Below are 13,230 nucleotides of genomic sequence, written 5' to 3' on the forward strand. Positions count from 1 at the left end.
AACTGCTAGGATTATAGGTGTGAGCCACCTCAGCTGGCCTGGGTTGGGTTTTCTTTTTCTGTTTTTTTTTTTTTTTTTTTTTGAGAAGGAGTCTCACTCTGTTGCCAGGCTGGAGTGCAGTGGTGCAATCTGGGCTCACTACAACCTCTGACTCCCTGGTTCAAGCAATTCTCCTGCCTCAGCATCCTGAGTAGCTGGGATTATAGGCACGTACCAACATGCCCAATTAATTTTTCATATTTTTAGTAGAGACAGGGTTTCACCATTTTGGTCAGGATGGTCTTGATCTCCTGACCTCCTGATTCACCCGCCTTGGTCTCTCAAAGTGCTGGGATTACAGGCGTGAGCCACTGTGCCTGGCCTGAGTTGGGTTTTCTATCACAATAGTTCCAAAAAATGTATTGGCTTGTGTGCTGAAAAGTCTATGCTTAAAGCTTCAGGCATGGCTGGCTGGCTGGTTCAAGGTGCTTAATATCAGCAGGACTCTATCTTTTCTCTCATCTCTGTTCCCATCTGTGTTGGCTTCATTCTTAGGCTGGTTCTCCATTATGGAGCTACTCCAGGCTTATATCCCACTAGCTCAGTAACCTGATAGGAAGAGAAGCTTCTTTTTTTCTTTTTTTTGAGACGGAGTTTCACTCTTGTTGCCCAGGCTGGAGTGCAATGGCACAATCTTGGCTCACTGCAACCTCTGCCTCCTGGGTTTGAGCGATTCTCCTGCTTCAGCCTCCCAACCAAGTAGCTGGGATTACATGTACCACCACGCCTGGCTAACTTTTTTTTTTTGAGATGAAGTTTTGCTCCTGTTCCTCAGGCTGGAGTGCAGTGGCATGATCTCGGCTCACTGCAGCCTCCGCCTCCCAGGTTCAAGCGATTCTCCTGTCTAAGCCTCCTGAATAGCTGGGATTACAGGTGCACGCCACCACACCCAGCTAATTTTGTATTTTTAGTAAAGACGGGGTTTCACCATATTGGCCAGGCTGGTCTCAAACTCCTAACCTCAGGTGATCTGCCCGCCTCAGCCTCCCAAAGTGCTGGGATTACAGGCATGAACCACTGCACCCCGGCCCCTAGAAGCTTCTTTTTTCAATGATTTCTGTAGAAGTCCCAGGCTTGGCTTGAGAGTCATTGCTCTGCTATGAGTCAGGTGCCCATTCCTGAACTAATCACTGACCAGGGAGAGAAAGCTCTGATTGACTCAGGCTCAGAGCTGGAAGGGAGAAGGAGTCGCTCCCTTCAGCCTATTCAGATTCTTCCCAAGAGTTTAGTTTTAGGCATGGTGGCTCATCCCTGTAATCTCAGCACTTTGAGTGGGTGGCTGAGGCAGGGGGATCAACTCCAGGAGTTTGAGACCAGCCTGGGCAACATTATGTGATCCTGTCTCTACAAAAAAATTGGAAAAAATAGCCAGGTGTGGTGTAGTCCCAGCTACTTGGGAGGCTGAGGTAGGAGGATTGTTTGAGCCTAGGAGATTGAGGATGCAGTGAACCATGATTGTGCCACTGCACTCTAGCCTGGGTGACAGAACAAGACCCGGTCTCTCTCTCACACACATACACACACACACACACACACAAAAGGCTGGGCATGGTGGCTCACTCCTGTAATCCCAGCACTTTGGGAGGCCAAGGTGGACAGATCACCTGAGTTCAGGTGTTCAGGACCAGCCTGGCCAACATGGTGAAACCCCGTCTCTAAAAAAATAGAAGGGCCGGGTGCAGTGGCTCATGCCTGTAATCCCATCACTTTGGGAGGCCAAGGCAGGCGGATCATCTGAGGTCAGGAGTTGGAGACCAGGCTGACCAACATGGTGAAACCACGTGTCTACTAAAAAAATACCAAAATTAGCTGGGCATGGTGGCACATGCCTGTAATCCCATCACTTTGGGAGGCCAAGGCAGGCGGATCATTTGAGGTCAGGAGTTCGAGACCAGGCTGACCAACATGGTGAAACGGCGTGTCTACTAAAAAAATACCAAAATTAGCTGGGCATGGTGGCACATGCCTGTAATCCCAGCTACTCAGGAGAATCGCTTGAACCAGGGAGGCGGAGGGTGCAATGAGCCGAGATTGCGCCACTGGACTCTAGCCTGGGCAACAGAGTGAGACTCCATCTTAAATAAATAAATAAATAAATAAATTTAGAAATACAAAAATTAGCCAGGTGTGGTGGCACATGTCTGTAATTCCAGCTACTTGGGAGGCTAAGGTAGGAAAATTGCTTGAACCTGGGAGGCGGAGGTTGCGGTGAACTCCGCGCCACTGCACTCCAGCCTGGGCAACAAGAACGAAACTTCGTCTCAAAAAACAAAGAAAAAAAGTTTAGCTTTGGAGTTTAGGCTTGGGTTTTCCAGGGTTACCACTTTTTAGCTGTGTTATCTTGGGCAAATAATGGAAGCTTTCTGAACCTCAGCTGTAAAATAAGGATAACGGTAGTCTCTACCTCTTAGGGTTTTTTATGAAGAGGAAATGAGGTACTGCATGCAAAACATTTGCACAATGCTCACTACTTTGTTGTCATTGTTACTAGTTCCTTTCTCCAGCACCTGCACTTCCAGGATGTTGGCACAGGTCCTTCCTTCCCCATGGGCTAGAAGGAAACTTCCTCCTGTGAGAGCTGTCATAGCTCTTTCTCTTGATTGTCTATGTGGCATTTGGTTTCTGCTCATGTTCATGCTGCCCAAACTCAAAACTTCTCTGTCCTAGACTTTCAACCCCTAGAAGGGAAAGGATGGCTCCATTCTTTTCAATGTCCTTAATAAGAGAACTGCCATCAACACCCATCCAGTGCATTTACAGTTTCCAAAGCATTTCCTCCTCTGCCTTTTCACCTGAGCCAGAATGCAATCCTAGGGAGTGGGAGGGGTTATTATTCCCACTTCACAGATGGGGAAACTGAGGTCCAGGGAGGGGCAGTGACGTCATGGTCAAGCAGCAAGTCGGTGGACAAGAAATTAGGTGTTTCTGGATTGCCAACACAAGTTTCTTTTTGTGGGACAAATAGTTTTGAATATAGAGTTCAAGCCTTTGGTGAAGATCCCGGGGAGCCTGTTCTGCACCTGTGCTAAGTGATTCTTTTCATTCAGCATGCAGTCTGTCCCTGTCTGCTGCCTGCCAGTCTTTCCCCCAAAGTCCCTTCCTGCTTGAAACCCTCCTTCCCTAACCCCAGAGACACCCCTGGCCTGCACTGCCAGCTCTTTCTTCTGAAATACACCTCTCCAACCGGCCCCCATCAGTCTGCTCCATTATCCACCTGGAACCAACCTCCAAACCTCTGCAAGGGCAGATGAGAGTGTCTCCTCCAGCCCTGTTTTCCATGGACTGCTTTGGGCACGGATGAAATTGTTCAGCTTATCCTGCAAGTTCCTCTGCAAGACTGCTTATGTGCTCTAGACTCATAGAACCTGGAATTGAATCCTAGCCCTGCCACATGCTGCCTCAGTTTCCGCATCTAAAATAGGAATAGGGCTGCTGACGTCAAGGGATCATCATGAGGATGAATTGAGAGAGGAATGCCAGGGGGCTGATACGCTTCAAGGAGGGGGTCCAGGAAAGAGAAATGACTTTGAGGAATGCAAGAATGTCCCCTCTGACCTTGCACGTGGCGGTCTTCCGGCCTCAGGACACCCTCCTCCACTTCCCAAGCCTGGGCTAATCTGGTATTCTCCAACTCACTTCCTGTCCTGTAGGTTAGCTCATCATCTCATTATCTGTATCCAGTTCTCTTTCCAGGCTTGCATATTATCTGTGCGGCTACACACACTTGCTAGGTGGGTAGTGAAGGGAGTATTAGGCTCTGCATATGGAAAAGTGGGCCTGGGTGGCCAAGCCCCAGCATATCTCCAAACCTCAATTTCTTGTCTGTAAAATGTGAACAGCAAGAATGTGCACCTTGCTGGGCACGGTGGCTCACACCTGTAATCCCAACACTTTGGGAGGCTGAGGCGGGAGGATCACGAGGTCAGGAGTTCGAGACCAGCCTGGCCAACATGGTGAAACCCTGTCTCTACTAAAAATACAAAAATTAGCCAGGTGTGGGGGTGCGGGCCTGTAATCCCAGCCACGTGGGAGGCTGAGGCAGGAGAATCACTTGAACCTGGGAGATGGAGGTTGCAGTGAGCTGAGATTGTGCCATTGCATTTCAGCCTGGGCAATAGAGTGAGACTCCGTCTCAAAACAAATAAATAAAAAAAGAATGTGCACTTGTGGAATTGTGGTAAGGTTTTAGACCAGCACTGGTCAGCATGGTAGCATCTAGCCACATATGGCTATTTACATTTAAATTAATAAAAGTTTAATGAAGTTTAAAAAATTCAGCCCCTCAGTCTCACTAGCCACATTTCAAGTGCTCGCTGGCCTCCTGTGACTCGTAGCTATCCTACGGACAGCACGCAGAAAGAACATTTCCATCGTGGAGGGAAATTCTGCTGAACAGTGCTGATTTAGAAGCATCACGCCCGTGCTGTGCATCAGCTCTGTGTTATAACTCATCTGACATTGTAAACTCAGGGCAGAAGCATGATTGCAGTGTAAAGTTCTGCTTTCCTTGGAGATGGGGTAAAGAGGTGAGGCTCACAAGGAATGTTGGACTGGTTGAGGGCATTCTCTGGGATGAGGGTGGACCAAGTTCAAAACGGGGAGCTCCGGCTTCTGCTGCAAGGCAGGCACATAGGGCATAATTCCCTCTGCTGGTGGAGAAGGGGCACCAAGCAGTGGGAAGGGTGGTTAACTGGAGAGTGTTTCTAGCATCTAGAGCTACCAGTGTTTGACTTTTCAAAGGAAAAGTGGCTATGTGGTTTTGCAAACGTGTTACAAGCTCTCTCCATTTTTATCGTATTTATTGTATCACTAGCTAGACTAATAAAGAAAAAAGAGAAGATACAAGTAAACATAATCAGAAAGGGCAAAGAGGACATTACCACCGACCCCATACAAACACAAAAAAGCCCTCAAAAACTATTATGAACACGTCTATGCACACACACTAAAAAACTTACAATAAATAGATGAATTCCTGGAAAGATACAACCTTTTTTTTTTTTGCCAGAGAATGGAATTCCAGATCCTGGGTTGTTAGAACCTTAAGGGATACTTTCATCCCCTGGTTCCTGTACAGGGAGGAGGAATCTGAGGCTCAGAGAAGTACAGTGACTTGTTTAAGGTCCCTCAGTGAGTTAGGGCAGAGGAAGACTTCTGGCCACAGCTTCCCTGAAGCCAAGGCTAGGCAGAGTGTTGATGTCACCCAGGCAACAGGGATGGTGCCCTCTGCCCACCTAGCAAGCCCTGACTCATGCTCCGCGCCCCTGCTGTGAGAAGTCTCTGCTGACTCCCACCCTGATTGGAGCAGGTTAGTCAGCTTTGAGGTGCAGCCTCCAGTTCTGGCCCCTCCAGTTCCGGGACTCTCATTCGAGGCATTTGGGGCTGTCTCATTTCTGTGCCCAGCACAGGGCTTGGCACAGAGGAGGTGCTTTGTGGGTGCCCGCCAGTCAAGGGTTTCCGTTTTCGTGCCATGTAGGTAACCCCTTGCCATTCGTGCCCTTAGGTAACCCCTTGAGCAGCCTAAAGAAGCCTAGAGACTTCTCCGTTTTTGAGTATATTTTATTGACGTGAAATACACGCACGGAAAAGCGCACAAATCCAAAGTGTACTTCCGCGCATCTTCATAAAGTGAACACACTTGTAGCCTAAGAACCCAACCCTACCAGCGCCCGGCAGGCCCTGGCCCCCTTCCAGTCTCTCCTACTGAACAAGGTTTTTGAGTGAAACCGGCAGGCCGGAGCGTGAGTTTCTGCTTGACGGGGCGGGGTCTGCGCGTGCTGCCCGGCCGTGAGTGTGGGGGGGCCGTGAGTGTGTACGGGGTGGAGTGGCCTGAAGGGGATTAGAGTGCGCGCGTTCGGGTATTAATTTGCCAGGGTTTGTGTGGCGCTCGGGATTGGGGGTTTTTTGGGGGCTCGGGCGTCGACTGTGGGGCGCTGCGGAAGGGTGGGTCGTCCGCGTGGGGTCCTGGAGCGCAGGAGGCGGAGGGGAAGCCGCGCAGGGGCCACTAGGGAGGGGCTCTGGCGGGGTCGCAGGGGCGTGGTCTGCGGGCGTGGGGGCGGGACCTCGGGGCCTCGGGGGCGGGGCCTGAGGGCGCGCGCACGCGTCCGGCGCGCCCCCTCCCGGCCGCCATGTTGGCTGGTGTGTGGGTGTCAAACTGAGCCAGACGCGGCGGTGGCGGCGGCTCCGCGGGCTACGGTCGCTCCCGCCTCTCGAGCGCTGCCGGTGGCCGCAGCGGCGCACCCACGCCGGCCCGGAGGAGCAGAGGTGAGCCACAGCCCGTGGGGCTCCAAGGCCAGAGCGAGTCCCCGGGGCGAGGACCCTCCCCCTCTCCAGGGCGCGGACGCCCCCAGAGCACAGGCTCCCCTACCTCACCAGCCCCGCCAGGGCATGCGCCCCTGCCGCCCCGCTGGTCCCTACGCCAGGCTCTGGGGGATCCCCTTCTTTCCAACCAGGCCCCGCCCCACGGACTGGAGCATGGCCCCCTTCCCATCTGGATCCAGCTTTCCGCTGCAAGGATCTCCCCCCTTACCCGTCCCTATCACCGAGCATCTCCTTTTATGTCCCCAGAGTCCAGGGCGCCCCTTACTCCTACCTCGGATCCTGGAGCCCCGTTCATCTTGGAACAACCCCGCCCCCTCCCCAGAGCACGTTCCTCCTCTCCCCGAGCCCGGCGCCCCTTCCTCCTGAGCCCAGCCTGGTCTCCCGCCAGCCCCCGTGCAGAGCCCGGTCCGGGCGCCCTCCGGGAATCGGGGGAGGGGTCCTTATCTCTGTCCGGGATCCCGCCCGTCTCACCTTTCCTGGGGGCTGTAGCAGGGCCCCCTTCCGTCCTTGGGGACCAGGCTCCCCACTCCCCAGCCCCCACTCCCACGGAACAGCGGGGACGGGGGCGGAAGAGCCAGGCTCCAGCTGCCTTTTGTTCCGCGTGGGATGGCAGAGACCCACCCGGCCCGGCGGTCCTGCTCGGCTGATCCGGGTGGGTGAATGGGTGCGTGGGGTCTGGCCTCTTCCAGGAGAGACTTCCTCTCTCTCCCTGTGGGGCGGCTCCCCTAGAGCCGAGAGCCGAGCGCGTTGGGAGGCTGGCCTTTGCTAGAGGAGTCGGTGCCAACAGGTTTTTGTTTGCGACCTGAAGTTTGCCCAGTGGCTTTCCCTGGGGCAGCTTGAGCTCCCTGTGAATCCCCCCGCCGGAGCTTGTGGAAGGCCGTTTCTCCGCCCAAGGAGTCCGTCTGGGCGACTCCTTCACAGTTGTGCTTCCCTGGGGACGTATCTAAAATCTGTGCTTTAAGAGCGGAGAGGGCTTAACCATCATTAGGGTTCAGATGAGGGAAACTGAGGCCCAGAACTGCAGTAATTTGCCCAAGGTCACGCAGTGATACTGTGTCAGTGCAGAACTAGAAGCTAGGTCTCCAGGCTCTGTTTACCACATTTAATAACTTTTTTATCTTTTAGGGAGATGTTCAGGACCCTACCTTCCCCTTTATTTTTAATATTTATGCAAGAAAGTGGGCAGGAAAATATGAGAAGTAATGAGTTATTCCTTTTCACCTCCAGAAAATATCCTGTGAAAGAAGGGATTGGAACAGGGTGTTAAAATGATGGGAAAAGGTGAATTTTAAGAATCCAAGCTTCCTCTCATTATGTAATATAACGAAGATTTGGCAGAAAACGTGCCTCTTGTAGCTCTAGATACAGAATTTTAGGTGCTGACAAAATCTTATGCTGAATCTGGCACAGCAGTGATTGAGTTAGCATTGATAATTAAGTTTTCATCTGTATTTAAATGAACATCAAAAGGGACTACAATTTGCTTCTGAATGGTACTTGTTCGGTGCTTGTTTTTGGGACAAGTGATTGTGTTGGGGAAGCGCACCTAAACTTTTAAATTTTTTATTTATTTATTTTTTTGAGACGGAGTCTCTGTCACCCAGGCTAGAGTGCAGTGGCACGATCTCGGCTCACCGAAACCTCCGCCTCCTGGGTTCAAGCGATTCTCCTGCCTCAGCCTCCGGAGTAGCTGGGATTACAGGCGCACGCCATCCACCACGCCCGGCTAATCTTTGTATTTTTAGTAGAGACGGGATTTCGCCACGTTGGCCAGGCTGGTCTCGAACTCCTGACCTCATGTGATCCGCCCACCTCGGCCTCCCAAAGTGCTGGGATTACAGGCGTGAGCCAACACTCCCGGCCTAAATCTTTTATTTATCTGTATTTTTACTTTTACATTTTAAAAGCTTATTTATTTCCCTGGTTTTAAAATTGGGCTAGTCATCTTTACCAGTCTCACTGGGCTATTCTTTTGTAAGCAGGGAATGAGATACTGGTTATTAAAGATTTTGGTAAAGTGTAAGTTACTGTAAGGCATGATTCAGGACTGCGTCCCACAAGTCCCCGGACCAGGAGCCAGTTCGGATTGTCTTGTGGGATGTACCAAGTTTCCCTGGTTTACAGAGGCTTTTTGCCTCTCTGAAGCCTGAGCTGGCCAGATGGAGAGCTCTGTGGAAAACTTCCAGCAGTGTGTGTTGGGCCAAGCACTCGAGGTGTGAAGAAATGTAAAACTTTCAAGTGATAATATCTAGCATCGTGTATGCAGCCTTGAAAAATGACCCAACCTTTGTAGAAATTCTCTGTTATCACTAACCCTCTTCCATAATGAGCGGAGGATTTCCCAAGAATTGGGATTCTGATAAGAGTCCTGCAAAAGTTGAAAAGTTTTCGGACTTTTTTTTTTTTTAACTTTAATTAGGAGGAGCGGCAACTTTCGGTTGTGAACTGAAGTACTATGAGATTTTTATGCATGGAATTGTCCTTGTCATACTTTTGGAAAGTACATTAAAATTTTCTAAGTTTTCTGGCGGTTCTCACTGTTCCCCATAACCTTTCTCTCTGGTGTATAGGGGTGTGAAGGACCACGATTGTTGTCATTTTATGACATGTATACCTGGTGACCCTGAGCCTTGGAGAAGTCAAAGGGCTTGGATTTGGGGAATTTTTTTTTTTTTGAGATGGCGTCTCACGCTGTCACCCAGGCTGGAGTGCAGTGGCGCAATCTTGGCTCACTGCAAACCTCTGCCTCCTGGGTTCAAGTGATTCTCCTGCCTAACCTCCCGAGTAGCTGGGACTACAGGCGTGTGCCACCATGCCCGGCTAATTTTTGTATTTTTAGTAGAGATAGGGTTTTGCCATGCTGGCCAGGCTGATCTCGAACTCCTGACTTCAAGTGATCCACCTATCTTGGCCTCCCAAAGTGCTGGGATTACAGGTGTGAGCCACCATGGCCGGCCTTGGATTCGGGGAAGTTGAGGCTGGAAAAGATGTGAGGAATTACGTAGTTTGTATCCCTTTTTTGTCTGCTGGACTTTTAACTCATGTATTCGGTGTAAACAGACCTCTTCTGTCAATACTTTGCCGTCTAGCTCGTCCGATGTTTGGCCCCTTTTTCTCTGCTATCCTACCTTCACCAACCCACACAGTCTGCTGGTGCACTTACGACATTGTCCGTGTATCTGGGGCTCTTGTGACACTGTGACGTCTTTGAGGCCAGTGGTCAGCTTGTCTTTACTTCTCCAGTACCAGGCTCGGTCTCTGATAGATGGTAGATGCTCAGTAAAGGTTTGTCACCAGTATTCCTCGAGGCAGGGGAGCACATTTTTATGGCTCCCTACTGTTCTGTCGCACTGTTGCTGAAATCACTACTGTTGGTTCAGCAATTGTGTGTCAGTTGCATAGGTTTATCCACCTCATCTGCAGGTGAGGAAACTGAGGCCTAGGGAGCTTAAGTTACATGCTCGAGGTCGCGCAGCCAGTAAGTGATTTGAACAGATCTGTTGGACTCCAAAATGTTATTATACCTGTTACCTACTTCGAGGACCAAGTCTCATGGGGATGAAGAGACACACTGCAAGTTAACAGTGGACTGAGGGAGGTGGGGTGATATGATTAAGGTGGTTGAGGATGGGAAGAGCACATTTGTTTTTTGTCAGATGCATTGTGAAATGAATGTTTATGTCCATCTGTTGAGTTTTTGAAAATTGACAAACTTGCCGGGCATGGTGGCTCACGCCTGTAATTCCAGCACTTTGGGAGGCCAAAGCGGCCGGATCACCCTGAGGTCAAGGGATCGAGACCATTCTGGCCAACATGGTGAAACCCCATCTCTACTAAAAATACAAAAATTAGCTGGGCGTGGTGGTGCACACCTGTAGTCCCAGCTACTCGGGAGGCTGAGGCAGGAGAATCACTTGAACCTGGGAGGCAGAGGTTGCAGTGAGCCGAGATCGCACCACTGTGCTCCAGCTTGGCGACAGAGCAAGACTCTGTCTCAAAAAAAAAAAAAAAAAAAAAATTGACAAACTTTCTGATAAGTTCGTCAATGGAATTTTATTGCTTAACTAGTTCATTCAAGTTAACTAAAAATAGAAACTTAGAAAAACAAATACAGTGAAATAAGTATATGTTGAAAGCCGTTTCAGCAGCCTTTTTTTAAACCACTGTAATTTCCATCAACATTTAACATAGGGATTATCACCCATTTGTGAGTAGAAAAACTGAGGCCCAGAGAGGTTAAGTAAGCTGTGAGGAACTGGCACAGCCAGGATTCAAAGTGAATCTGTGTAATTCCCAGGCCTGGGTCCCTTCTGCTCCACTGGCCCCTGTAGAAGGCCCCACAAAATAATAGGTATTCATTTAAATAATAGAATAAATTTGTTGTCTGAAAGTCACCACCAAGTTTATTTAGAAGGTTGGGAATTGTGAATAACGAGATTTCTGGCTCTTTCCTAACCTTAGAACCTTTGAAAACACTGTGGTTTGAATGTCAATAATTAATGGATCATTTTAGCTGAGAGACACTAGATTTGGTGTTTGATCTGAAAAAAAAAAAAAAAAAGCCTAGGCCAGCCACGGTGGCTCATGCCTGTAATCCCAGCATTTTGGGAGGCTGAGGTGGGCGGATCACTTGAGGCCTAGAGTTTTTGAGACGAGTCTGGCCAGTATGGCAAAACCCTGTCTTGACCAAAAAAATACAAAAATTAGCCGGGCATAGTGGCATACACCTGTAGTCCCAGCTACTCAGGAGGCTGAGGCAGGAAAATCACTTGAACCTGGGAAGGGGAGGTTGCAGTGAGTCTCCAGCCTGGGTGACAGAGCAAGACTCTTGTCTCAAAAAACAAAAACAAAAAACCTGTCTTCTTTTGAACCAGATCCGCAACATTGTTAAAATGCTCCCTATCCATGCATTGGATTCTTTCTGTGACTCATTCCCCTAGTACCTAGGTGCTGGAGCCTGCTTCGTTCCTGGGCATAGAAAGTCCTTTTCCTGATTCTGTTTCCTGTTGGTCCTGGTCTAGGCAGAGTGTGCTTCACTTTCAAGCCCTCTAGAGACAGGACAGGTAACTTAATTCTCTTTCTGTTCAAAGCAATACAAGGAATTGGACATGCAAAGGGCTGTAAATAAAGGGACTCCCCATCTTCTCTTCATGGTAACCCTGCTGATATATAGAACAGGGAAAAGTAGGCTCATCCTGGGGGACGGCTGATTGTTTAGGGCTAATGCATGATGTGGATTTAAAAGCATTTATAATTAATCACTTCTGAGTGCAGGCTTCATTTTTCCTCTTGGTCCCACCCCTCTTAGGTAGTTGCACGTTGCAGCAGCTCGATAGCTGAGAACACCAAGTGGTACAGTTAATTTGGCTTCAAAGGCCATGTGGCAGATAGCTTTGGAATGAGGTGTGGGTACTAATGGGCCTCCTGGCTGGGTGGCTTTGGGCACTTTAATCACTGAGCTTTGGTGTCCTCATCTCTAAAGGGGGGCTCGTAATCACTACTTCATGAAATAGACTAGCCTTGTTTCTCAAACTCCTGTGTGCAGCAGAAGCACCCAGAGGGCTTGCTGAACACGTGGCTGGGGCTGCACCCCATTGTTTCTCATTAGGGAGGGGAGGCCTGAGAATGTGTCTTTTTTTTTTTTTTTTTGAGACAGAGTCTTGTTCTGTTGCCCAGGCTGGAGTGCGGTGGCGCGATCTTGGTTCGCTGCACTCCACCTCCCAGGTTAAAGCGATTTTTCTGCCTCAGCTTCCTGAGTAGCTGGGATTACAGGTGTGTGCTACCATGCCTGGCTAATTTTTTTTTTTTTTTTTTTTTTTTTTTTGAGACGGAGTCTCGCTGTCTCCCAGCCTGGAGTGCAGCGGCGCGATCTCAGCTCACTGCAAGCTCCGCCTCCCGGGTTCACGCCATTCTCCTGCCTCAGCCTCCCGAGTAGCTGGGACTACAGGCACCCGCCACCACACCCGGCTAATTTTTTTGTATTTTTAATAGAGATGGGGTTTCACCGTGTTAGCCAGGATGGTCTCGATCTCCTGACCTTGTGATCCGCCTGCCTCGGCCTCCCAAACTGCTGGGATTACAGGCATGAGCCACTGCGCCCGGCCATGCCCGGCTAATTTTTTGTATTTTTAGTAGAGATGGGGTTTTACCACGTTGGCCAGACTGGTCTCAAACTCCTGACCTCAAGTGATCCGCTTGTCTTGGCCTCCCAAAGTGCTGGGATTACAGGTATGAGCCACTGTGCCTGGCAGAGAATGTGTATTTTTAGCCAGCTTCCAAGTGCTGCTGATGCTGCCAGTCTAGGGACCAAATTTGGGAACCTTGGCCCAGAGGACTTTATGGGAAGGTGTGTAAGATGTCTAGCACCTGCTGGCTGTGCAGTAGGAACTCAAAAATGACACTGAAATGTTTCTGAATATTGGTCTGAAGATGATGGATGGCGTGACATTTGGAAAGGAAATGGGGAGAGAAGATGTCATTGTCCTTCAAAAAGGCTGTAAATCTTGGATGCTGTTGAAAAAGCAGGTTCATCATTCTCACACATCATGTAAGAAGTTTACTGTCTAGGCCTTTTAGAATTGTAACTTGGGGGCTGGGTGCAGTGGCTCATGCTTGTAATCCCAGCACTGGGAGGCTGAGGCTGGTGGATCACTTGAGGCCAGGAGTTGGAGACCAGCATGGCCAACATGGCGAAACCCCATTTCTACTAAAAATACAAAAATGAGCCAGGTGTGGTGGCGTGGGCCTGTAGTCCCAACTACTCGAGAGGCTGAGGCACGAGAATTGCTTGAACCTGGGAGGCGGAGGTTGCAGTGAGCCGAGATTGTGCCACTACACTCCAGACTGTGTGAGGGAGTGTGACTCTTCTCA

The 13,230-nt window shown here is 49.8% G+C and overlaps 1 protein-coding gene across 3 annotated transcripts in view, besides 1 other annotated feature; it reads left to right on the forward strand.

Moving 5' to 3' along the window:
- Nucleotides 6,046-6,515: a silencer, noted in NCBI's record as "silent region_8285". NCBI's record gives its function as "represses an Ori minimal core promoter by ATAC-STARR-seq in GM12878 lymphoblastoid cells {active_cell/tissue: GM12878}" and the evidence as "EXISTENCE:reporter gene assay evidence [ECO:0000049][PMID:35858748]".
- The window catches only part of EPN2 (epsin 2), a 99,350-nt gene continuing 92,257 nt past the window's right edge, over nt 6,138-13,230 (forward strand). For all 3 annotated transcript variants that reach the window (NM_014964.5, NM_148921.4, NM_001102664.2), the window contains exon 1: nt 6,138-6,303. The gene's annotated coding sequence lies outside the window, so the exon portion shown is untranslated. The remainder of the gene's footprint in view (nt 6,304-13,230) is intronic.

This window comes from Homo sapiens, chromosome 17 (assembly GCF_000001405.40).
Source record: "Homo sapiens chromosome 17, GRCh38.p14 Primary Assembly".
In the NCBI taxonomy this organism is placed as follows: Eukaryota; Metazoa; Chordata; class Mammalia; order Primates; family Hominidae; genus Homo; species Homo sapiens.